The sequence below is a fragment of the Homo sapiens genome, chromosome 5 (genome assembly GCF_000001405.40).
Source record: "Homo sapiens chromosome 5, GRCh38.p14 Primary Assembly".
Classification (NCBI taxonomy): domain Eukaryota; kingdom Metazoa; phylum Chordata; class Mammalia; order Primates; family Hominidae; genus Homo; species Homo sapiens.
In genome coordinates this window covers 127,935,840-127,962,245 of record NC_000005.10, presented here as the reverse complement: position 1 = coordinate 127,962,245, position 26,406 = coordinate 127,935,840, and the positions used below count along the sequence as shown (strand labels likewise).

At 39.2% G+C, this 26,406-nt stretch overlaps 1 protein-coding gene and 1 long non-coding RNA gene across 8 annotated transcripts in view; one reads left to right on the top strand and one right to left on the bottom strand.

Moving 5' to 3' along the window:
• Positions 1-21,806, top strand: part of SLC12A2-DT (SLC12A2 divergent transcript) — a 142,736-nt gene extending 120,930 nt beyond the window's left edge. For both annotated transcript variants that reach the window (NR_152813.1, NR_152804.1), the window contains exons 3-4: positions 5,325-5,442; positions 21,026-21,806. This is a non-coding gene — a long non-coding RNA (SLC12A2 divergent transcript). The remainder of the gene's footprint in view (positions 1-5,324; positions 5,443-21,025) is intronic.
• The window catches only part of CCDC192 (coiled-coil domain containing 192), a 239,292-nt gene continuing 233,624 nt past the window's right edge, over positions 20,739-26,406 (bottom strand). For all 6 annotated transcript variants that reach the window (XM_017009806.3, XM_017009807.2, NM_001317938.2 and 3 more), the window contains one exon: positions 20,739-21,064. In XM_017009806.3, coding sequence (XP_016865295.1) covers positions 20,778-21,064 — 287 coding nt within the window. In that variant the 3' untranslated portion in view covers positions 20,739-20,777. The remainder of the gene's footprint in view (positions 21,065-26,406) is intronic.

Here is a 26,406-nt window from a genome sequence, read left to right as displayed (position 1 = left end):
CCCAAAGTTACCATATCTGGATATAGAGTTTTCAGGAGGTAATTAAGGTTAAATGAGATCATAGAGGTCGGGTCCTAACTCAATAAGGCTGTGACTTTATACTGCGAGAAAGAGAATTTTTTTTCTTTCTCTCTCTGCCATGTGAGGATACAGCAAGAAGGCAGCAACCTGCAAGCCAGGAATCGGGCCCTCATAAGAAACCACCTGTGCTGGACCTTGATCTGAGACTTCTATTCTCAGAACCATGAGGAAATAGAGCCACCCAGTCTGTGCTATTTTGCTATGGCAGCCCAAGCTAACAAACACACCTCTCCACTTTTGAAGAATTACCCTGTGCTGAAGGGGACTGCCTTGCCCTAGAGATTATGCCCTCATCTTTCATGTGGGAGGAAGGAGGTGCAGCTCACAGCAAATGGCTCATGGATGTGGGAGTATAAAAGGCTGATCCTCAATAGGCAACAACGCTGTATGATTTAAGCCCCAGAGCCTTCCTATGGATCAAGGCAAGGCTAGGTTTTGTCTGAGACCACATCCTTGCTCTTTTATCCCTCTCTAGTCTTACTTTCGTCTCCCCTTTACAGGTTTTTCCTGATGAGGACTCTCTCAGTAATTCATAGGCACCCAATTCCCTGACTCAGGACCTATTTCAAGGGATCCCTACCAAGACAGATGTTTTATGATCATAGGATATTAAAAGACAGCACTTGTCATTAGTACATATTTATAAGCAGAGTTGCATATTTTAGCTTAGTTGCAGTCTCTGTGAAATTTCAAAATGCTATTTTACACTTTGATAAAAATAACAATGGTTATTAACATTTGCTGAGTGCTTACTAGGCTCTCTGCTGAGTATATAACATATGATCTCATTTAATCTTCACCATGACCATATGAGACAGCTACTCTCAGTTTTTATACTTTTAGTGTTTTCTAAATCATTTTGTATCTGGGATTTTGGTCTAGATTCTTTGCTGTAGCAACAAAAGACTTCTGGGCCTGCATAAAAATAGACTTTGGCACATGACATTCAGGAAACACCTGATAAGTGTCACAGACAAGACAAGTTGGCCTTTCTTCAACTTGAAAAATCAGGACTCTCTGGATTCATTATTGAACAGTGTTGAACAGAATGGTCTATGGAACATTCCTGTTCAAAACCCTAAATCTTTTCGGTGAAGTTAGCTGGTAATTGTGGTGTGCTACTTTGGTGTTTCAAAGTGCTTTGCTAAATAACACATTTGTGGGTCTAGGCATGTCCATATTAGTTTTTAAAAAGTTTTACCCTTTCAAGTTTTCACTAAGTAAGGTTCATTCATACAACAAACATGTCTTAAGTTTTCATCACTGCTTGTTAAGTAATTCTCTCAATCTCTCTCTCTTTCTATATATATATATATATGTGTGTGTGTGTATATGTGTGTGTGTGTGTGTGTGTGTGTGTGTGTTGTGGGCATCACAGGAAGATAAAAAATGAGTCGATATCAACTGTTGAAGTCAGTGAATCCCTAATTTCAGCAGCTGCAGCAGGAAATAGGAAATCTTATAAAGGGAGGGTCAAGGAACAGGCATCAATTCTTTGTTAGTTGCGTGGCAATGCTTTGTCTTTTTCAGTTTAGTGGAAATGGCCTCTGGCTCCAAGGGAAAATCCAGAAAGGAAGACCAGATAATACTGTGTTTGGCATGGTCCTAAGCCAGAAACCAAGGCTTAAAGGACTCTCCTCAATGTTACACAGCTAGGAAGTGGTGCAATCAGAAATTGAACATGGGTGCACCACTGCCAGCTGAAATAGCAGGAAATGAAAGAGTAAGCAACATGATGGATGTAAAGGGTGCTTCCTGGAGAGCAGCTCATATGGTGCAAAGTTTCTTCTACAATGAAAGCAAACTCCAACAGGTGGCATTCCATGTAGCTTTCATGATTCCACCTACCTGAACTAGATCCCTGTAAGTTTATTAAGGGGATTGTAGCTAGACTTATAAAATTAAATCAGTTACCCAGAAGTAGAACAGCCATTTGAAGAGAAGGAGAGCTTGAGAGACAGATGGAATGATGAATGTGTCTCTGAGTCTGGTTAGTTTGAAATGTCTGCTAAAACTGATGAGAAAATGCTAAGAGGCTTAAACTTTGGAGTTTTGTAAAGACAGGTTTCTCTGGAAAGTAAATAATAAAGACATAATTCTTTCAGTGAAAGAAACAGAGCCTAATTTAACGGGAGATTGGGTACCTTGTTCTGCAAGGAACCAGAGATTGAAGGCTGCCACTGGGCATTCTATGAATTCCCATGGAGTGGGGGTACTCACTGGCATTGAGCCCATGAGTGGCCCACCTGTTTGCACACCACATAGGAAGGATCCACATGGATAGCTTAAGTTCCCCAAAACCATTTGTTTTATCTAAAAGAAACACAGTCATCCCAGAGGCTTATGGATGTGCAGTTTAGTCTCACTTTTAAAGGATTTTTATGTATCCTTGTGTCTTTAAAGGCAAAACTAGCAAGTGCTTTTTACATCTGTCCAAGCTAATCTTTCCCTGCTTTAAGCAGGCAGACAGGAAATGCAGTTTGCCTCTATTACCTAACATGCACGAGGTATATAATACAGAGAAATAAGAAAAAAAAAAAGTGAGAGCATAAGGTAAACGGATTGGATGAGATCAAAAAAGGAAAATAGGAGCCTGGTGAGCAATCCTTGGCAGGGTGCCCAGAGCAGCTTCAGGAGAGGGACAGAGCCCAGCAAGAGCATTTCCTGCTTTGGGTTAAAAAAATAAATTCAACTATCCTCTATGAGGTGGTCTATTTATCCTGTGCAGCATTAGGTCATTAATTTGAAAATTACAGGTAGTAATAAAAGCAGCAGTTATTTTTTTAACACCTAGATGAATGGGCCTCTCCCTGCTTCACCCACTGCACACCTGGGTTATATTAATATTATCTGGTGTGTGGGTAGTTTCCCAGAAAATTTCAGCTTGCGTGAAAGCTTGAACAGCCTTGTTGCTTCTCTAAAACTTCTTATGTTTTCTATATCCTACTATTTCCCTCAGACCATAATCTTCAACAGAAACTAAAGGATAATCACCATATAGGCTAAGAAGAAGCATTTTTTTCATAATCATAATAATTGCTGGAATTAACAAAATCCTAAATTGTCTTCTGTCATTGCATACCCGAGTGGCTTCATGTTTTGCCTGCCTTTCAGTAGTCATCAGTTTCCCTCATCCACAGGACTTTGGAAGCTTCCTAAGTACGGCTTGCTATCATTCCACCTGGCCTTTCTTCAGGAAGTGGATGAGTCTGGCTTTCTCTTTTCACATTGCCTTGGACTTAGGGGAATTTGCCTTAGATGTCTAGCTATGTGACTATAAACTGTTTCCCATGTCAGAGCTTCCTGATGCTTATACAACATATCAGACCACAGTCTTTGAACTCTGGGCAGGTGTATGGTTTTACAGTGCAATATTTTAAGAGAATTTGTTTTAATCTTCTAGCTAAGCCTCTTTATACAAACAGGGCTGCCAAGAGCACAAATGCAATTCACTTACAAGTTGTTTGTCTAGTTAACAGTAAGTACGCAAATCAGTTTCCTGTTCACACAAAGGATTTTCTTGTGTTTGAAATCTTTGACCAACAGTACGTTGGCTTGGATTTTTACGGAGAATTCACAATGTTAATTATCTATAGTGCTCTGTGCACCAGGATGTGAGGTGACTTAGTAAGCCGCTGGTTAGTACCAAACAAGTATATTGCCTGAGTTTTTGAAAAGGACCTTTGTGTGCATAGTGGGGAGGCACCACAAAGGGCCCACATGGAAACAGAGGTTCAGCATGCAGTGAAAGGTATCAGGAAGTTGGAAGACAGCACAGAGGAAGGGAAAAGGAAAGCTTTATTGTAAGGATAAAACTAAGACAAGAGATTACAAATCATTAATTTTTTCTCAGGGTTTTTGTTCAAGGTTTTCCTCTTATGCTTCTTTTCTTGCATGTGTTTCTTCAAGAAAAATGAAGGCATTCGCATCAATAAGCATTTTCAAAGAGACTCTTGACTTTCAAAGAGAGTCTTGAGTCTTAATGCAATAGGACTGCATTATCATTAAAAGACAAGTTGTATGCAGCATCAGTAACAGAAGCCCAGCATCCAGAGCCATATGGGAGCATTGCTAATATGTACAGTACAACACAGAGATACTTAACTGTAGGAGCATAACCTCCCCCCACCCATGTATGCATTTATGTACTTTATTCTCATTGCCAAGCTCTTTAAATTTTTTCTCTTCACTTATTTACCTAAGGCTGTTTCCCTTCAGCCCAGAGAAGTTAGACATAACTTGCACATTGCCCTGGGGAAAGAAAGATGCTATGCAACTGGAATAACAAAGTTAGCATAGTCTTGATTCTTAAGTTCAAAACTGCTGGTTTAGAAGGAAGACAGAAAAAAATCAGAAGCATCCCTTATAGAACTAGTATCTCTCATGGTCAAATCTGGGAAATGGGAATATGATGGAACCCTTTCTGTGTGTGCATTTTGGAAAATAGAGTGAAACTTATAACCATGGTTTGAACTAGGCAATAGCAATTCTCAGGGAAATGATCCTTTCTCTCATGCCACCCTGATATGGCAGCTGACAGGTATAGATGAGAACTGGTGACACAGTGGATCCAGGCAGGAGAGGGCCAGAAAGAGTCTCCTCAGTTTTATGTGCTCTTGAAGTCGTGGGCAAAGGCATGTGAAAAGTTCCCCAATCCCCTAGAGCAGGTCACTGATCCAAGCTGAGGAGAACCACTGTGCTACATAGGTCTTGTTGTGGCAGGAATGAGATGTTGCATTGTTAGCAGGGGGTTGAAGCTACTTGCTAGCAGATGGATGCCAGGATGCTACGTGGGAGCCAGGCCAAGGTCTGCAGCTCCTCCAGCCACTGTGGGAATAAGCAGCACACTTTGTCTCTGCCCAGGACCAGACAGGATGAGTCACACCTGGAGCAGGAGGCCAGCATGGGCCTGACACAGATATGGACATCTGCTGCCCACTGCTGCAGGGGTGCCATCTGCTTACATTCTTTCACAGCTTAATAGTGTCAACCCCAGGAGGAGGATACATAAAAACAATTCGTAACAGGCTGAGTTTTTTTTTCTACTAAATTTTATATTTGAGATAATTGTCGATTCACTTGCAGTAAGAAATAATACAGAGAGATCCAGGTACCATTTACCCAGTATTCCCTAGTGGTAACAGTTTACAAAACAATGTAAACCACAGCCAGGATATTGTCAAGGTGTAGAACATTTCCATCAACAGAAGGAACTTCATGTTGCCCTTTTTTTTTTTTTTCAGATGGAATCTTGCTCTCTTGCTCAGACTGGAGTGCAGTGGCATGACCTTGGCTCACTGCAACCTCACCTCTCGGGTTCAAGCGATTCTGCCTCAGCCTCTCGAGTAGCTGGGACTACAGGTATGTGCCACCAAGTCCAGCTAACTTTTGTATTTTTAGTACAGACAGGGTTTCACCATATTGGCCAGGCCGGTCTCGAACTCCTGACCTCATGACCCACCTGCCTCAGCCTCTCAAAGTGCTGGGATTACAGGCATGAGCCACCGCGCCTGGCCCATGTTGCCCTTTTATAAACATACCTGCTTCCCTCTCCAGCACTTACAGCTGGCAACCCCTAATCTGTCCTCTATTTCTATAATTTTGCTTTTCTGAGAAAGTCTTTATTTCTTCTTCACTTTTGAAGAATAACTTTGCTGATATAAAATCCTAGGTTGGTGATTTCCCTTGTTCCTCTATAGGTAAGGTATCTTTTCCTCCTGTGTCCTTATTCAAGACTTTCTCTTTGTCTCTGCTTTTTTTTCACTTCAATATAATATGCATGAATATGTATGGGTTATTTATTGATTTTTTAATTTATTATTCTGCTTGGAATACTCTGAGCTTCTTGGATGTGTGACTTGATAACTACATTCACTTTGGAAAGTTCTCCACATTACTTCAAATATTTTCAGAGTTTCTAGCTATTCTAGTACCTTTGCCTTCACATATAGATTTTAGAATGATCTTTTAAATAGGGGAAAAAAATGGCTGGGATTTGACTGGAATTGTATTGAACCTGTATATTAATTTGGGGAGAGTGTCACTATATTGAGTCTGCTAATCTATAAAGACAGTATTTATCTCCATTTATTTAGACCTTCTTTGATTTTTTAAATTAGCATTTTACAATTTTCACCCTACAAGTCCTCTGTGTTTTGTTAGATTTACACCTAAGACATTTTTGTAAAAAGTGATTATAATGATAATGCATTTTTTATTTTGGTGTTTTTAATTACATGTTCATTGCTACTATATAAAAATACAATTAATTGTTATATTTTTATCTTGTCTTCTGAGACCTCGCTGAACTAATTTATTAGTCCTAGAAGGCTTGGTTTTTTTGTTTTGTTTTGTTTTGTTTTTGTTTTTGATACTTGGGATTTTCTACAACTTTTCAAAGAGTGACAGTTTTATTTCTTCTTTTCCAACCTGTATTCCTTTTCTTTTCTTTTCTTGCCTTATTGCACTGGCTGTGATTTCCAGCATTATGTTGAATAAGAATGGTGAGACTGGAAATTCTTGCTTTGTTCCCAATCTTAGAAGGAAAGCAATCAGTCTTTCATTATTGAGTATAATGATACTTATAAGTTTTTTTATAAATGCTCTCCAAAAAGAGAGTAAGTTCTTTGTAAGAGAATAAGTTGATTAAGTTTCCTTCTGTCTCTATTTGTCTGAGAGTTCTTAGTTATAGATACTGAATTTTGTCAAGTGTTTTTATCAATTGATATGGTCAGGTAATTTTTTTAGCCTGTTAGAATGGTAGATTACATTGATTGAATTTAGCATATTGCACCAGTCTTGTATCTCTAGAATAAACTCCACTTGGTCACGGTCTATAATTATTCTTCACTATTGTTGAATACCATATGTTTTTATTTTATAGAATTTTTTGAGCCTATATTTTGAGCTATATTGGCCTTAATGGTCTTTGTCTGGTTTTGATATCAAGGCAATACTAGCTTTATATAATAAATTGAAAAGTGTTCCCTCCTTGTGATGGTTAATTTCATGTGTCAATTTGACTAGCCTAGCCTACGGTAACCAGATATTTGGTCAAACATTATTCTAGATGTTTTTATGAATGTACTCTTTAGATGATAGTAACATGTAAATCCGCAGACATCAGGTAAAGCAGATTACCCTCCATAATATGAGTGAACCTCATCCAACCCCCTATGAAGGAGGGAGAATTCTATCAACAGACTACCTTTGGACACAAACTGCAACATCAACTCTTCCCTGGGTCTGTAATATGCTGGCCTACCTTACAGATTTTGGGTTTGCCAACCTCTGCAACCATATCAGTAAATTCCTTAAAATAAATTTCCTCTGTCTGTCTATATAAATATATATATATATATATATATATATATATATATATATATATATATGCCTGGAGATTTCTATTCTTGAGATCTCAAATGATTAAACCAGGTTCCTTAATATTTATAGGTCTACTCAGATGGTCTATTTCATTATTGGCTGAGTTGTGGTAATTCATATTTTTTGAGGAATTGGTCCATTTCATCTAAATTGTCAAATTTAGGTTTATAGACTTGTTTCTAGTATTCTCATATTATCCTTTGATGTTCACACTGATATCCCCTGTTACTGATATTGCATACTGTGTCTTCTTTCTTGTCAGTCTTGTGGAGGTTGTCAGTTATATTGATTTTAAAAAAAAATCCTAGGTCTTTTTTTCATTGATTTTCTTTACTGTTTTATTGTTTTCTATTTAATTGACTTCTCTTCTTTTTATTATTTCATACCATCTGCTTGCTTTGGGTTGATTTTGTTCCTTTTTTTCTAGTTTCTTTAGAAGAAACCTTAATTATTGATTTGAGACTTTTCCTCATTTATAATATTTACATCTGGGGCTATAAACTTCTATTCAGCACTGCTATAGAAATGTCCCACAAATTTTAATAGTAGTATTTTCATTTTCATTTAGTTCAATGTACTTTTAAAATTTTTCTTGGGACTTCTTTATCCCATGGCTTATGTATATTGTTTAGCTTCCAAGTTGGAGATTTTCCTATTATTGTTCTTTAATTGATTTCTAGTTTAATCCCATAGTGGTCAGAGAACACTATCTATATGATTTCAGTTCTTTTAAATTTTTTGCAATTGTTTTATGGCCCAAAATGTGGTTTATCTTGGTATATGTTCCATGGGCACATAAGAAGAATGTGTATTATGGCCAGGTGCAGTGGCTCACGCCTGTAATCCCAGCACTTCGGGAGGCCAAGATAGGTGGATCATGAGGTCAAAAGATGAAGACCATCCTGGCCAACATGGTGAAACCTGTCTCTACTAAAAATACAAAAATTAGCTGGGCGTGATGGCGTGCGCCTCTATTTCCAGCTACTCAGGAGGCTGAGGCAGGAGAATCGCTTGAACGCGGGAGGCGGAGGTTGCAATGAGCTGAGATTGCGCCACTGCACTCCAGCCTGGGCGACAGAGCGAGGCCCCTTCTCAAAAAAAAAAAAGAAAGAAGAATATGTATTCTTCTTTTGTTGGGTGGAGTGTTCTATAAACGTTGATTAGATTTTAGTGATTAATAGTGCCATTAAGTTCTATATCCTTGCTGATTTTCTGTCTAGTTGTTCCATCAATTGTTGAAAGAGGGGTGTTGAAATCTTCAGCTATAATTTTAGATTTGTTTATTTTTCCTTTTAGTTCAATCAGATTTCGTTTCACATGTTTTGCAGGTCTGTTTGGTGTATATACATTCAGCATTGCTATGTCTTCTTGGTCGATTGACTTTTTAAAAATCATAGTATAATGTTCCTCTCTCATGCTAGTGATTTTCATTCCTCTGAAGCCTATTTTATCTCTTGTTAATAGAGCCACCCTTGCTTTCCTTTGATCACTGTTTGCATAATGCATCTCTTTTTATTTAAAAAACTTTAATCAGTCTATGTTGTTATTTTTGAAAGGAGTTTCTTAAAACTATATATTGAACATTATATAGTTTGATATATAGTTTTGTCTAGTCTACCATTATATGTGTTTTAATCTGTGTATTTAGGCCATTTACATTTACATGTAACCACTGCTATTACAGGGTTTAAGTCTGCATTTTGTTTCTTATTTTCTGTTCGCTCTTCTTTTTCTCTGTTTTCTTTTTTCTGTCTTTCTTTGTGTTATTTGAATATTTTTAAATTCAATTTTGATTCACTATACCATTTTTAAAGTGTATTTCTTTGTATAGCTTTTGTTAAGTGATTACTTTAGGTATTACATTCTATACTCACAACTTATTAAAATCTACTGTTGGCCAAGCATGGTGGCTCATACCTGCAATGCCAGCATTTTTGGAGGCCAAGACAGGTGGATAGCTTGAGCCTGGGAGTTTGAGACCAGCCTAGGCAACATACTGAGACCCTGTCTCCACAATAAATTAAAACAAAACAAAATGCCAGGAGCACTGGTACACACCTGTAGTCCCAGCTACTTGGGAGACTGAGGTGGGAGGATGCCTTGAGCCCAGGAGATCGAGGCTGCAGTGAGCCGTGATTGAGCTACTGCACTCCAGCCCGGATGACAGAGTGATACCCATTCTCAAAGAAAAAAAAAATATCTACCACTGGAGATGAAAAAGTATTGCAAGATTTCAAATTTTTTTTTTTTCTCATTACAACCTTCACCTCCTGGGCCTAAGTGATCCTCCCACCTCAGTCCCCCAAGTAGCTGGGACAATAAGTACACATCTGGCTAATTTTTGTATTTTTTGTTGAGATGGGGTTTTACCATGTTGCCCAGGCTGGTCTCAAACTCCTGGGCTCAAGCGATCTGCCCACCTCGGCCTCCCACAGTGCTGAGATTACAGGTATGAGCCACTGTGCCTGGCCCTCAATGAATTTTTAATGTTAGTTCTCTTAATCATGTATGGATTATTTTCAGGTTGAAAGGTGTATCAGTGCCATTTCATTATCTAACCCACTGTGATTCTATAGAACTCTTTCAAAGAAATGGAAGAGAATGAAGACTCTTATAAAATGCTCTCTGACAGGGAGGACAATTAAGGTGTTTATTTCGTGAAGCCACTATACTCCACCGTAACTTTGGTCACCAGAAGAGAAAGAAGAAGCATCTATGAGCATCTGATTGGTGTAAGACACAGTATGGGTGTGCTTTCCCAAGTTATCTCACTTTAAGGGAAGTTCTAATCAACCTCATTCTGGGGTAATTTTCACCAGACTCATAACAAAACTTCACTGTCTCAGTGCTGGCTGGAAATAATACAAAAATTTTAACTCTCTCTTTTCATTTATCTGGGCGAAGTGCTCAAGAAGTTCAGATCAGTAGTTTCCTGTTCAGTCTTTTGCTATTACAGTTAATCGTGCCTACTTAAGACATCTGGAAAAACTCTAGTCGAATCAAACATATAGGACAACTATTGTAGCAGAAAGAAAAAAGTAACTTGTATCTCAATTTTCCACTTAGTAACGTAACATATCTCATTTCATCCAAGGATTTGCTCTGTAGAGAGCTCACTAAATCAGTAGAATGTTTGTTTGTTTGTTTGTTTGTTGGGACTTATGACTTATAGATTTACCACACATTTCCCTATGGGGAAAAATCACAAATACCCCAACCTATTAAAGGTTATTACTAGTACTGATGAGAACAGATGTTTCTTAGGGTTGATTCCCTGGAAGATATTTTCCATGCATTTGGTTTGTAATGCAACTATTTCATTTTCCAATTTTAATTACTAAAAAGGAAATTTACTTATAGACACAGGCTCTCTTTTAAAAATTTAGTTCCTTTTTCTCAGTAAAGATTGAGTTCTCTAGTTCTTGCTGAAAAAGTAGCAGATGGGAATAAGCTCTCTCAAATTATACATCACTCTAGGGGCCTATTGAATTTCAGTATTGGATGGGGTCTCAGGCAAGCGTCACTATGCTCTGATGCTTGAAACAACTCCCTACATTATAGTTAGCCCTTCCACAGCCTGAGCTCCTGACTCACAGGCACTCTGACATCTTTACGAGATAACTGCTATATTTCACAACTGCAGAGCAAACACCAAGAAGGAAAAAAAATATTCTGTCTTCAGAGTCTCAGTTTATTAAAGTATATAGCAACCAGCAATCTAGAGAACAACCTCACGGAATGGGTCTAAGTTTCTATGGCAAAATAATATGATTGGGTAACTCCCAGAGGATAATCGGATTAATTTAAATTCTTGGCATCTTTGCTACGCTGGAGGTCAGGTAGAGAAGAAAGGAAGCCACGGCTCTTCTCTATCCCTAGACCTTCCTTCAGAAATCTGAATCTGCAGACTGAAGCCCTAGACCTTCATCTGAGTGCCTGAATCTGCAGTCTACTGCAGATGCTAAATCACCTGGCTCTCTGAAGACTATCTGCCCCTACAAAGTAGCATTCATCCTCTCCAGAAGGTCCAGAGCATGGAGAATTAAAAAAAAAAAAAAGTTCCTTCTAATCAATTTCAAATATATTTGTAAGAGAAACTATGGCATAGGAAACCTTCTCCTGATTTCTTTTTACCAGCCATTTCTTGAACCTACTATTTAATAAACTTAAAAGGTATAGTAAACATCTCTGAGGCAATAATAAGAAACTATATTATTCTATGTATAAATTTGGGCTAAATCTAGATATCTGACATGATTGCTAGAGCATATGATATGTACAAGATCAGAATAAGTATTCAGTAACTTTCTTGAGTGAACGAGTGAATATATACTCTGGCTGTTAATCTATTTTTAAAAAATAGAAAATTTTAACAAAAATGACAGTGTGGTGAGAAGATTTATACTTCAGCTTATAGTGGTACTGCTCTGTAAGTCTTTGATTAGTAGAGGATGGTATGGCAGAGAAAGAGACTTTGTTTTAGCTTAAACACTCCCATATGAATCCAGGCTTGGTGGCTCATAGCTGTAATCCCAGTGCTTTGGGGAGGCCAAGGCAAAAGGATTGCTTCAGGCCGGGAGTTCAAGACCAGGCTAGGCAATAAATTGAAACCCCGTCTCTGCAAAAAATTAAAAAATTAGCCAGGTGTGATGGCATGTGCCTGTGGTCCTAGCTACCAGGGAGGCTGAAGTGGGAGGATTGCTTGAGGCCAGAGGTTCAAGGTTGCAGTGAGCTATGCTTGTACCACTGCCCTCCAGCCTGGGTGACAGAGTGAGATCCTGTCTCAAAACAAACAAACAAACAAAAAACAAACAAACAAACAAAAAAGACATACAAAATTTTCATATGAGTTATCAGCAGCTGGATTTCTAGAGTTATGACTTTAATTCATCTTTGGAGATGCCTTCCTTTATATTAGAAAGTCACAAAAATGGTCATTTAATTATGAGAATGCAAATACCTACTTCTTGAGATGGAAGTCACCATATATCTGAGTGCAGATGCACAGATTGAGATACTAAGCAGTCTGTAAAGTAGTGTGTATTGAGAACATTTCCTCCTAAATATAGATTTTTATAGGACTTCTGGTATCCCACAGAGGGTGTCATTTAGGCTTGAATAACCCAGGTTCTAGGACATATAGTTGAAGTCCATGCGATCAGGCCACTGACCTTAAAGGCAAGTTTGAAGATCAAGTGAGAAGAATGTCTATATGTGGGTCTCCTGCCTTCAGAAAATGCTGGTTCTGGTAGTAATCACTTACCTATTTACCTATGCTCGTGATGTGGATAAAATGACATTTTGCTATCAGAATTCCCCACTGCATACGAAACAGATTGAAAAAGAAAGATTTATAAGCTGTCTTGAAGTCATGAGAATGAGGCAGTGGGCCTCATTAGTAACTTCCTTTAGATTTTCTTTTCCTTCTTTATTATACATTTGGAAATATGTATTAATGTTAAATGTAGGATGTAATGCACTCATTTTGAACGTTTATTTTAGACTATAAATCAGAAGTTCACAACCATAGCATACCAAATCAGACCTGGTATACACAATTGAGAGTATTTCAGGAAGGGTTTACACACCTATAAGACCAGGCAGGCAAGACAAATGCCTTAAGCAGCCCTGCATAAAACAATAGGAAATGGTGGAACCTGGAGCAAACTGTAGAGTGAGCCCCTACCCTTCTTAAAAGAATTTACTTTAAAACAAAACAAAATAAAACAAAATGAGCAAACAAAAAACAAAACACTGTTCTGTGCCAAACCAAACAGTCGGTCAGTTGAATCTGGACCACTTTTTGGACCCCCTATAGTGGAGCAAGCATGAGAAAGAAGATACCCATGGAAAGCTGTTTTTCTTATAAATGGGATGGAGGCTGACTTGAGAAAGGGGGTATAAGAAATACATATCTTTTTTGTCTAACTGCACAGGAGTGGTGAGTGATGAAATGTATACTGGCCTGGGGGCTACAGATCCTGGTTCTGGCATTTTCTTTTTATAACTTTAGGACTAGTTATCTAGCTAAAACCTTCTCATGATGATCAAATAAAATAATCTATTTGAAATGTTTTAAATAACTGTAAATTGCTGTGTAAATATTAGTTACATTCCTATATATATATATAGCTGATGGTTAGTAAATGCAGGTCCGGAACAAGATAGTGGGCATCCATGATGGGTATTTGTTGTTCCTTTCACTATCACCACACCAACTGTATTTCAATAGGAGCTAGGCAATAAGGCACACTTTTTTATTGCAAGGCCAAATATTATATTATCAGCATTTTTCTTTTAATGATAACTCACTGTTATCATTGCTTGGACCTCATATGACAAAGGGCTGGTTTAGGGCTAGTTCTTTCTCTTCCATTCTGCTATCATCCATTGCCTGTGATATCATCATGCTATATGAAAAGGGTGATATCAGATAATGAACTGTTGGTGAAGCTTATTTGTGACATTTAGGAAAATGGATTAAAAAGTTATTAGACCACATGCCATGTGATTTTCCCATCCAAGAACAGAAAGATTGGGTACTACTGGAATTGTGCACTAAGGGTCATTCTTTGTTAAACAAAAAACAATAATAAACCATAGAGATGGAAATGGTCAGATAATTAAATGTCATCCTGCCACAAGCTCATATTATTGAAAATGTACAACACCATGCTGAATAGGCAAAAGCAGGAAGCATTCCCCTAGAAAACTGGAACAACACAAGGATGTACTCTGTCACCACTCCTATTCAACATAGTACTGGAAATCCTAGCCAGAGCACTCAGTCCAGGGAAAGAAAGAAAAGGCATCCAAATAGGAAGAGAAGAAGTCGAACTATCTCTGTTTGCAGATGATGTGATTCTATATGTAGAAAACCCCATAGTCTCGGCAAAAGCTTCTAGATCCGCTAAACAACTTCAGCAAAGTTTCAGGATACAAAATCAATGTACAAAAATCATTTGTGCATTTCTATACACCAACAACATCCAAACTGAGAGCCAAATCAAGAACACAATCCCATTCACAATAGCCAAAAAAGGAATAAAATATCTAGGAATACAGCTAGATACAGAGGGATGAAAGATTTCTACAATGAGAATTATAAAACACTGTTCAAAGAAATCAGAGATAACACAAACAAATGGAAAAACATCCCATGCTCATGAATAGGAAGAATCAATATTGCTAAAATAACCATACTGCCCAAAGCAATTTAGAGAATCATTGCTAATCCTATTAAACTACCAATGATATTCTTCATGAAATTAGAAATAAAAACTATTTTAAAATTCATACAGAACCAAAAAAGAGCTCAAATAGATAAGGCAATTCTAAGCAAAAAGAACAAAGCTGGAGACATCACATTACCTGACTTCAAACTATGCTACAAGGCTACAGTAATGAAAATAGCATGATACTGGTACAAAAACGGACACATAGACCAATGGAACAGAATAGAGAGCCTGGAAATACTGCCACAAACCTACAACTATCTGCCCTTTGACAAAGTTTACAAAACAAGCAACGGGAAAAGGAAGCTGTACTCAAAAAATGGTGGGACACTAGCTATATTCAAAAAATGTCTGGGTGGGATAACTAGGTAGCCATATGCAGCAGATTGAAACCGGACCCTGTCCTTACACCATATACAAAAATCAACTCAAGATGGATTAAAGACTTAAATGTTAAGACCTAAAACTATAAAAACCCTGGAAGATAACCTAGAAAACACCATTCTGGATACAGGTCGGGGCAAAGATTTCGTGACAAAGACACCAAAAGCAATTCCAACAAAGACAAAAATTGACAAATGGGACCAAATTAAACTAAAGAGCTTCTGCACAGCAAAAGAAACTATCAGCAGAATAAACAGACAACCTACAGAAGAGGAGAAAAAATTGGCCAAATATGCATCCTATAAAGGTCTAATATCCAGAATTTATAAGGAACTTAAACAAATTACCAAGAAAACAACAAACAACTCCATTAAAAAGTGGGCAAAGGGGATGAACAGACACTTTTCAAAAGAAGATATACATGTGGCCAACAAACATGAAAAAATGCTCAACATCTCTAATCATTAGAGAAATGCAAATCCAAATCACAATAATATACAATCTCACGTCAGTCAGAATGGCTATTATTAAAAAGTCAAAAAAAGCCGGGCATGGTGGCTCATGCCTGTAATCCCAGCACTTTGGGAGGCTGAGGTGGGTGGATCACAAGGTTAGGAGATCGAGACCATCCTGGCTAACATGGTGAAACCCCGTCTCTACTAAGAAATACAAAAAATTAGCTGGGCGTGGTGGCGAGCGCCTGTAATCACAGCCACTCGGGAGGCTGAGGCAGGAGAATGGCATGAACCCAGGCGGCAGAGCTTGCCGAGATGGCGCCACTGCACTTCCGCCTGGGTGACAGAGCGAGACTCCGTCTCAAAAAAAAGAAAACAAAAAAGAGTCAAAAAAAAAAGAAGACATGCTGGTAAGGTTGCAGAGAAAAGGGAATGCTTATATGCTGCTGGTGGTCATGTAAATTAGTTCAGCCATTGTGGAAAGCAGTGTGGCGATTTCTCAAAGGACTTAAAACAGAGTACCATTTGACCTAGCAATCCCGTTATTGAGCATATACCCAAAGGAACATAAATCATTCTGCCACAAGACACATGCACACATATGTTCATTGCAGCACTATTCACAATAGCAAAGTCATGGAATCAACCTAAATACCCATCAATGGTAGACTGGATAAAGAAAATATAGTACATATATACCATGGAATACTATAGCCATAGAAAAGAATGAGCTCATTTCCTTTGCAGCAACATAGATGAAGCTGGAGGCCATAATCGTAAGCAGATTAATGTCAGGGAAAAGAAAACCAAATACTTGTTCTCACTTATAAGTGAGCTAAACTCACTTATAAGTGGGAGCTAAACCTTGAGTCCATGTGAACACAAAGAAGGGAACAACAGACACCAAGGCTTACTTGAGGGTGGAGGGTGGGGAGAGGGAGAGTGTCTGGCTTTGAAAATGATTTCTTTGGGAAACTGAAAATAAGAACTGTTTTTTGTTTTGTTTTGTTTTGTTTTACCATAAAAGTCCTAATTTCATTAGGTGTGGGAAATTTCATGGCGAGGCCTGTCTTTTGCTGTGAACTTTGTCCCAGTGTACTTGTTCTTCTATTTTAAAAAGGTTATTTCCTACTTGAACTCAATTCTCCTGTTTTAGCAGGAAAGTTCTCTTGCGTGTGGGAAATCTTAATAAAAAATTTTGTTGTAAAACCATGGAGAAATAATAATTATTTCTTTATAATTTGTCTGTTCTTTTTTGTTGTCTAATTTCAAATTATGAGAATCAAGCTTTGAATCTCAAACATTTGGTTTCCTAAGTCTTTTTAAAATGTTTAAAAAAACCTTTTAGAATAGTTTTGTCTTTGCAGTTCCTATACTCGATAATTGCCAAATAAACATTATTTTTACTTAACCCTATAACATTTACCAACAATTCTCTTTTTATTGCATTAAACCAAAAATTATTTATTTCAGTGTAATATAGAAGAAAATGATTGGATTTTGAATAAGCAGAGAGAGTATAGGAGATAATTAGAATTGGATTAGATTCATTCTTTTCCAGAAATGCACTTAGAAAGTACTATAATTTATCTCCTTTTGCTGGACTGAATACTAGAGCAATCCCTGGGCCAGTTACTCCAATGGCTTGCTTTTCTGCTAATTTTTAACAAGTTTATTGCTATGATTTCAGCTTTGCATGAAAGTATTTGGAAGTCCACTAATATAACAATGAAACTAAATTGTTAAATCCAACATTTACCTAAATTGGTTAGAAATGTTACATATTTAACTTTCTGTCTGAGAAAATTTCATGCCAGGTGAAAAAGGAGAATTAAAACTATGTATATAGTTCTGTAAATGTTTTTATACTATTAGAGAATGGCTTGTGTTACTCTTGTTAAGTACCTTATTTCCTGGATTTTCAGTTATTTTTGAATCAGATATATTACCTGATGATTTGCTGAATTTTCATTAAAAAATAGGATCATTAGCATATTAATTGCTTTGTTATATTTATACGCAATATTTTAATGGTCAGTGTGAACTGCTTCAGCAACCCGATTTGCTCTAAGAAAATGAGATTTGTGTTTACAGTGTAGGCTATAATCTGATTTTCAGTTCATCTGAACCCGGTATTTAGCACAATTTGAAGTTTACTACTCAATTCTCTAGAGGTTTGGCAGGACATAGAAATGAACTTTGGGGCATACAATCACAAAGAGATTCGGCTGGGAAGGTGAATTTTTCCACTTCAGAATTTCTCAGGTTGGGCATGGTGGCTCATACCTGTAATTCTAGAGCTTAGGAAGGCCAAGGCAGGAGGATGCTTGAGGCCAGGAATTCGAGACCAGCCTGGGTAACATTCCAAGACCCAGTCTCTATAATAAACTAAAACAATTAGCTGAGTGTGGTGGCTCATGCCTGTGGCCCCAGCTACTCCGGAGGCTGAGACAGGAAGATTGCCTGAACCCAGGAGGTTGAGGCTGCAGTGAGCTATCATCGTGCCACTGCACTCTAGTCTGGGCCACGGAGTGAGACCCTGTCTCTAAAAGATATTAAATTAATAAACAAATAAAGGAAAAGAATAAATTTCTCAGAGGCCAATAATACTCCTCCCATCCCCTCTCCTCCAACCCTGGACACTTAAAAATTTCTTGTTACTAAGATGTCCCTAACAGAGATTAGTCTATTCGTACCTTTGGGACACATTTCCTCCCCACTTCTAATTTGGCAGTAACCTAGACCTGAGTCAAGATCAGCTTCTTGTAAAGATGGTTTTGCGGGGTAATATGACCCCTGATGCTTTCTTCTTCGGTGGCTGGTCCTCGGATGTTTAGAGGTGATAGGCTCAATTAATTATTAATAGCAGCTCCTGCTCTGCCTGTTACTTTATCTCCACTGTAAGGCTGCTTTCATACTGAGGGCTACTCAGGGTATTAGCCAGGGGAAACTGATCTAGAAGTTGACACACTGCTATCTGGAATGTGATGAAAATTTTTGTCTCTCTCTCTCTCTACTTTCCTATAGTGAGACTGGGATATCTCATTCCCAATATCCCATGAGATTAAAACAATCTTTGGTAAAATAAAGAGATGGAAACTCGGTAAGCATAATAACACAGCAAAATCGTGGAGATGACAGTTTGTCTTGCAGATGGTCCACTCTTAACAAAGAGAAGGATTTAAAGCTTTCTCCTACAAATACACAGTAAGAACATGCCAACCCTCAGTCTCACTATAGTGTCAGAGGCAATGGGCCCTTCATGACTGCAACAGGGACACCTAGGCCAGAGAAATAGAAAAGATCAGGGAAATCATGGATTTGGGGGAGGTGAGAAAAAGGAGGGACCAGCGAGAAGGGATTTCTGAAGTGGATTCTGTAGGGACTGAAGTGCACCTTATGGAAAAGATAAAGAGGTACTTTTAACTACTTTCTGGGGTAGTGTATATTCATGATCAGTGAGTTGGTTTCATTTCTGATATAGAACCGCACCTGTACATACTTGTAGCCATTGTAGGCAAAACTGAGGTTAAATACAAATATGGGAAATTTCTTGCTGTGGTTGAAAACAGAGGCTACCGATAGTACCCACGTTTTTTGGGTTTCTTTGGTGGTGGGGTAGTGAAACTCTGGAGTCAATATCAACAAGTCATCTTATGTGAGTCAAGAACTCAATTAATTCCTTTTTTGTTTTTGAAAAATCACATTTGGAAACTGTGTTTTGTAGATAGTTGGGATCCATAATCAGATTATGCAATAGGTAAATAGTGTAGAAGACTCACCCCAGATTTCAAGGAGAAATCTCCTTCTGGGGATTGTCTATTAGTCTGGGAGCAAAAGTATAATAGGTCTGCTTGAAGCCATCCCTAAGCCAATGTGGCCTAAATGTAGTTTCTGGAATAAATTCATCAGGAATACCACATGTGTTTATTAAAATGCATATTCCTGGGCCCTAAACTAGAGGCCAGGAATATACATTCTTGCTGATTACTCATGCTCAGTATATCTGAGAACCTCTGCTGAAACAATGCTGATCAGGTTTACCCCACTTTCACCCACTTCCCTTCTCCCATTTCCCATCTCTCAATACAATCAGCCTTACTTTAAGGAGATCCTTGTGTGTCTATGAACTTCTGGATGGTGAAAATGGTGATTCTCATGTTTGCTGTGATTTCTAACATCTACAGTTGTGCCTTCCAGATAGAAGAGTATTTGATGAGGATTTGTTGAACTGGTTGAATTAAATTGAGAACTAGCATTACAGTCATACTCATGAAACTAGAGCTGTTTGCCTGAGTCATGCTGTACCAGAACAGGAAGAACTAAGGACCGAAGTCTTCCTCACAGTTAGTGCCTAGCTGCTCCCTTTGAGTGGAAAATAGTTTATTTGAAGGGGTTGAGTGGAAGAGGAATATGATCCGATTTCTTTTATTCCATTAATTACAGGGCAGGTTTCCGTTGCCCATTCTCCATTATTCCTGCCAGTGTTTTGCACTGTTCACAGCTCATTGGTACAATCATAACAGAAGATTGTATTTTGCTTTGGTTTTAGTCTTGTTCCTAAGGGAAAAATCAGTGTTGTGTGTTTTCCCAGGGAGATGCTGTACCAGGACACTTTTCCCAAAGGAATGCAGCTTTGATTCACCCATTTTTAATTTTTTTTATTGCTTTAGTTTTATTTCCTTTCTATCCTTGCTAATGTTAATAAAATGCATGCCATAAAGAAATAAACTCCTGAGGACATGAAAGGACAGACCTCATGGCTATTTACTCTGCTGACGGCTCCTGCTCTTTAGCTCCTGCTCTTTAGTACCCGCGCATTCACGAGTTTGAAGCTGGCCCTCCGCGACAGCTTTCTGTTCACAATAGAGCTGCATACTAAACGGGGTTGGTGCCACCCCTCCCTTGCAGTGTGACAAATCTCTGCTAAGAGGATAATGCTAAGTTCTTTCACCATCTGTCTAGTTTTGTTTTCTTCCCTCCCCCACTGCTACCAGGAATGTCTAAAAACATAGTATTCTACAGCTGCGTGGTTTACGTGACTATTACTGTCCAAAGGGGAAACATTCAGTGTTTGCTCTTGAACATTTCCTTTTTTTTGTTTCCTTCCAATACGAACATGATAGTATACATTCAAACACATGAACTTGAACTTGAGTTTGTCACCTAGGAGACTATTTGGTATCAGACTTTACCTGGATGACACTTAATAAACTTTTATTGTTTTCTTATTGGGAATCTACAAATTCTCATCAGAGACCACAGGTGGGATGTCATGAGTAGAGAAAACTGGGGCTTCTGGTAAACATCCTGGAGGGTCCTTGACCTCTTGGGGAGGATGGGGACTCCGCTCAGCTTCCAGCTGCTGAATCTTCCTTTCCTTTTCCTCCAAAACTTCTTTCAGCTGAGTAATTCTCTCAGTCTGAAGGGAAACCTGGGTTGACAGTTCCATTATCAGGCTAATTTTTCTATCACCTTCTTCCACAGGTGGGAGACCTCCACAGAACCCTTCCAGCAAGCTGTCTTCTAAAGCAAACAAGAAAAGGAAAGTCTGAGCAGTTTTGATTAGATTTCCCAGAAGTCAAAGCAAGGAAAAATGAAAAAGCTTCATTTCTCACGTTCTTAAAAGAGAGCACAGATGTTGCATCATCTGGTTAGATACCCTGAGAATAAAATCTGGATCCAGTGAGAGGAAAGATTCTGGGTGCTCATGAAAAAAGAAACAAAACAAAACTTGGGAGCCTCTTGAGAGTGTACAGCATCAGCCCTTGCCAACTCTTGTTTATATGCATTTAACTTTCAGTTAACCATGGGAATAATTCATGAAAATCCAATCTACAAACAAAGGCCATCCTAACGTTCATGTTATTCTTTTCCCTAAGAATCTTTCACAAGAGCTATAATCAAGTAGAATTATGCTTTGATTTGAATTCTAATTCAATTGAAAATAAAAAATGAGGGCCGGACGCGGTGGCTCATGCCTGTAATCCCAGCGCTTTGGGAGGCTGAGGTGGACGGATCACGAGGTCAGGAGATCGAGACCATCCTGGCTAACACGGTGAAACCCGATCCCTACTAAAAATACAAAAAATTAGCCGGGCGTGGTGGCAGGCGCCTGTAGTCCCAGCTACTCGGGAGGCTGAGGCAGGAGAATGGCGTGAACCCAGGAGGCAGAGGTTGCAGTGAGCCGAGATCATGCTACTGCACTCCAGCCTGGGCGACAGAGCGAGACTCTGTGTATAAATAAATAAATAAATAAATAAATAACGAAAAGGTTGCCATTGCCCTTTCTGGGGAAAGTGATAATGAGGAAAGACTAGTTTCTTAACCCAAGTCAGCTTTAGAGTCGGCAAGGATGCAATTTGAGGTGATCCAGGAAAACTCTATTAGCATGGTATTTCCCATACAGATTCATTTCTTTTAGGCCTGAAGTCTTTTTGGCACTTCTTAATAAAATCACAGATACCTCTTGGACATGAAAGCTTATCCTTTATCAATTTCTATCAGTTAACCACTCAGATGAGGATAAAGGCCTGAGTCAGAAAGGACAGAGAGAGGTTCCACAAAGAGATAAAAGATGAGTGGCCATAAGGAGTCCTTGAAAACACACCTCTCTAGCCCATCAAAAAATGCAGCACCTTAAACTCAAGTCCATCTTACTAGCCTTTAGCAGTACCCCACCACTCTCAAAATTTCCAGCATTAAATGTCTCGGAGCTATATAAAAGGCAGACTTAGGTATAAGTAGGAAGAGATATCAAGGGCTTGGGTATCATTTCAGCACTAATGGAGCTTATGGCATGTATGAATGAACCTGATGCGTGGTCTCCACGGTAGATTGTTACAATTGAGGTCCCACATTTATGAGATTCCCAGTGAAAACAAATCTCACAGCTTCACCTGAGAGAAACATTACTGTCAGTCTCAGATACAAAAGCCTGCTGCTATTAGGTACCTATACACCTGCTGAAAATGGACCAGCTTTGCTGTAGTAGTGCGCGCAGGCAAAAAAAAAAAAAAACATAAAAATAACCCGTTTCTCAACAAATAAAATTAATTGGCAGTCATCACATTCCCAAGGGATCAAGGGGTAAAATCTTTGGCAGCATATTGCACAGTGGGCAGGGTGTTTTTGGCTTCATAAAAGTGATAAGAGGAGACAACAGGCTATTCTCTGCTCTTAGAAATTATTAGCTCTTTACTAACATTTAAGAATCCATGGGGAAATTTTTGCTCTGAATTTGTTAGAATGTTTAATATTATAACAATAATATTTAAGATGTTGGTTTGAAGGTGGGGCACGGTGGCTCACGCCTGTAATCCCAGCACTTTGGGAGGCTGAAGCAGGTGGATTACTTGAGGTCAGGAGTTTAAGACCAGCCTGGCCAAATGGTGAAACCTCATCTCTACTAAAAATACAAATATTAGCCAGGTGTGGTGGTGCACACCTGTAATCCCAGCTACTCGGGAGGCTGAGGCTCGAGAATCACTTCAACCTGGGAGTTGCAGGTTGCATTGAGCTGAGATTGTGCCACAGCATTCCAGCCTGGGCGACAGAGTGAGACTCCATCTCAAAAAAAAAAAAAAAAAAAAAAAAAGATGTTGGTTTGAGTGCCTTTCATAAGTTAACAAGCAACGGGAAAACAGCTCAAATTTCAAAAAAGCATTTAGTTCATTGCCTCTGCGATAAGCCTGTGCTTTCCAGCCCAGGAGAGAGAGTCCATATGGCAGGAGGCCTTCCTCATCTCCTGGTGTGCCAAGCTCTCACCTTTCCTTTCATGCCTGTGCTTTCCAGCCCAGGAGAGGGAGTCCATATGGCAGGAGGCCTTCCTCATCTCCTGATGTGCCAGGGTCTCACCTTTCCTTTCATTTGGCTGGAGCTGTGCTGTCCAATACAGTAGTCACTAGTCACATGTGACCATTAAGCAATGGAATGTGGCTAGTCTGAATAAAAATGTGCTTTAATGTAAAATACACATTTGACTGGGAGATTTAGTTTAAAAAATGTTAAATACTTCAAATTTTCTATATTGCTTATGCATTAAAATGATAATATTTAGAATACATTGTGTTAAAGAAAATGTATTTTTAAAATAATTTAACTGACTTATTTTTATGTTTTTAAAAATGTGGCTCCTAGAAAATTTAAAATACATGGCTTGCATTTGTGGCTCCCATTATATTTCTGTTGGATAATGCTGGGCTAGCATTTCCTTCCAGATGAGCTCTCTCTGAAACCCAGGTGGATGTGTTACCTGGAGATGGCTCTAGTTAACCTGCACAGATATTGTTTGAGAGGGAGGATCTCTGGTCCTCAAGCATTGGCACACAGATTATTTTTCTGTTACCCCAGAGGATGGAGTCATGGAAATCAAAGTTTGGCAAAAAGTGATGACTGCCAATTAATTTTATTTGCTGGGGAATGGGTGATTTCTTGCCTGAATGCACTACCACAGCAAAGCTGCCCCACCTTAAGCAGGTGTGTAGGTACCCAGGTAGCAGGCTTTTGTATCCGTGACTGACAGTAATGTTTCTCTCAGTCCCTAAGCTACTCCTTAAACTACATAAGAAACTGATTCAGGTGGGTCGAAGTGAGTTTCATCAGGAGTAGGAGAAGGAAAATGGCAGCAAAGTGGCCAGGGAAGATGCTGAGGAGAGGAGCAGTGAACAGTGGGGGATGCAGGGCCTCAGCAGGGGGCAGGGGTGGAGGGGGGTGCATTGGAACCTCACTGTGCCTGTCTGACGTCTTCTTCCTCTTTGACTTCTCCTTCCATCTTTTCTCTCCTCAGTTTTTCCTCTGCTTTTAGAATGAGTTATTTTCAACGGATTTGTACAATGAAGAAAGGAGTTTAGTGTCACCCCTGGTCAAACTGGTCAAAACGTTTTTAGACAATGCAGTATAGGTAGAGTTCACCCAGCTCTAATGATACAGCAGCAAAAATGCGGCGAAGCGGCATTGCATAGGCAGTCACGGTCACTAGGACCACATCGCCCTTCTGGAAGAGAGTATTACAGGGAGAAGGTGGAAAGAAAATGAGAGGAGAAGCAAGTGTCTAGGCAGCTTGGGCTGCTATCACAAAGTACTACAGATGGGGTGGCTTAAACAAGAAACTTTTTTATAGTTCTGGGGGCTGGAAGTCTCAGATCAGGGTGTCAGGATGGTCAGGTTCTGGTGAGGACTCTCTTCCTGGCCACCTTTATGCTGCGTCCTCACATGGCAGAAAGAGAGAGACCAAAACCTCTCTCATATCTCTTCTTATAAGGGCACTGGCTGCATCATGAAAGGCCCACTCTCATGAACCCATCCAAGCCTAATTATTTCCCACAGGCCCCATCTCCAAATGCCATCTAGTCGGGGGCTAGGGCTTCAACACAGGAATTTTGATGGAGACATAATTCAGTCCATAGCACAAGAAGAGGACAGTCAGAAAAGGGGTAGAGTAGATGCTGAAAAAAAGAGAGATGGCATGAGGATTCCCATTGTACTGTTCTCATGTATTAAATGAAAATACTAATAGACAACCTAAAGACATACTAAAATTAAAAAAATTCTCATACAAGTATATTTTACTACTAGTCTCTTTACACATATAAAACACAAATATTTTGTTCCATTTCTAAATACATTACAACTAACAAAAGTGTTTAAAACTCTTTAGCAAAGTGGGGGACTTCAAGAGCCTCAAGTCCTATTTGTATTGGAAAGTGCCCAAGGCCACCCCAGTGAGTTTTCTAGAATCTACCACTAACCATCTCACTCCTCTCCCCCCATCTAGTCTCCCTCATCTGTAACAGGAAGTGATGTGTGTCCCCAAAGTCCTGACAGCTCTACATGTCCCACACTTCACACACCTGTGGTCCCTCATAGGCTTCTGCTGGCAGCTCAGTCTTGCCAAGGCGGGTCTCCCGGAAGCCTGGAGGTGCTGTTATCTGACCAGATTTTCTCAGCCTTAACCCCACACCCACAGGATCCAGGAAACCCAGAGATTGCAACAAGAAAGGCTCTTCTATGTGAGACGGAGGAAAAACCTGATTAGCAACAGTGAGGGTATAAACTCATCACTTTCGCCACTACTGAAGGGGTTTTTACAGTCATACATCATTCTTCATCATTTTCCCTCTTTCTTCTATGACTTAAAATAGATGTAAGTCAGGACTGAGAATGATGGTGTACAGTTCTCGCAAAAAGACTATAGGGGATGGCCGGTGGGAATTGGGCAGGGTTAGAAAGATTTAGTGAGAGGAGAGGCAGTCCCAGCATTCTGCCTTCGGCTGACCCAGGCTGTACTCACTTTTCTATGTCAGCCTTGAAAGACCAAAGGCCCAGAAGAAAATATGACCTTGCCTTTGGCCATTTCCAGCTTCCTGTTCTTCATACCCTCAAAACCTTTATGCTCTGAGAAAAGTGACATGTGAAAGTTACATCAAAAATGACTAATAATAACTAAATAGATAACAATAGAGGTGACTGTAGTTGAAGGAGTACCTTAAAAGACTGAGCGTTGACTACATTTTTGGGGTGATCTAGCCTCATCTGCTACCAGTATAGGAATTATTTCTGTAACATCTCTTTGATAATTTTTTTTCTTTTCTTTTCTTTTTTTGAAACGGAGTTTCGCTCTTGTTGCCCAGGCTGGAGTGCGATGGTGCGATCTTGGCTCACCACAACCTCTGCCTCCCGGGTTCAAGCGATTCTCCTGCCTCAGCCTCTTGAGTAGCTGGGATTACAGGCATGAGCCACCACACTCGGATAATTTTGTATTTTTAGTAGAGACGGGATTTCTCCATGTTGACCAGGGTGGTCTCGAACTCCCAACCTCAGGTGATCCACCTGCCTCGGCCTCCCAAAGTGCTGTGATTACAGGTATG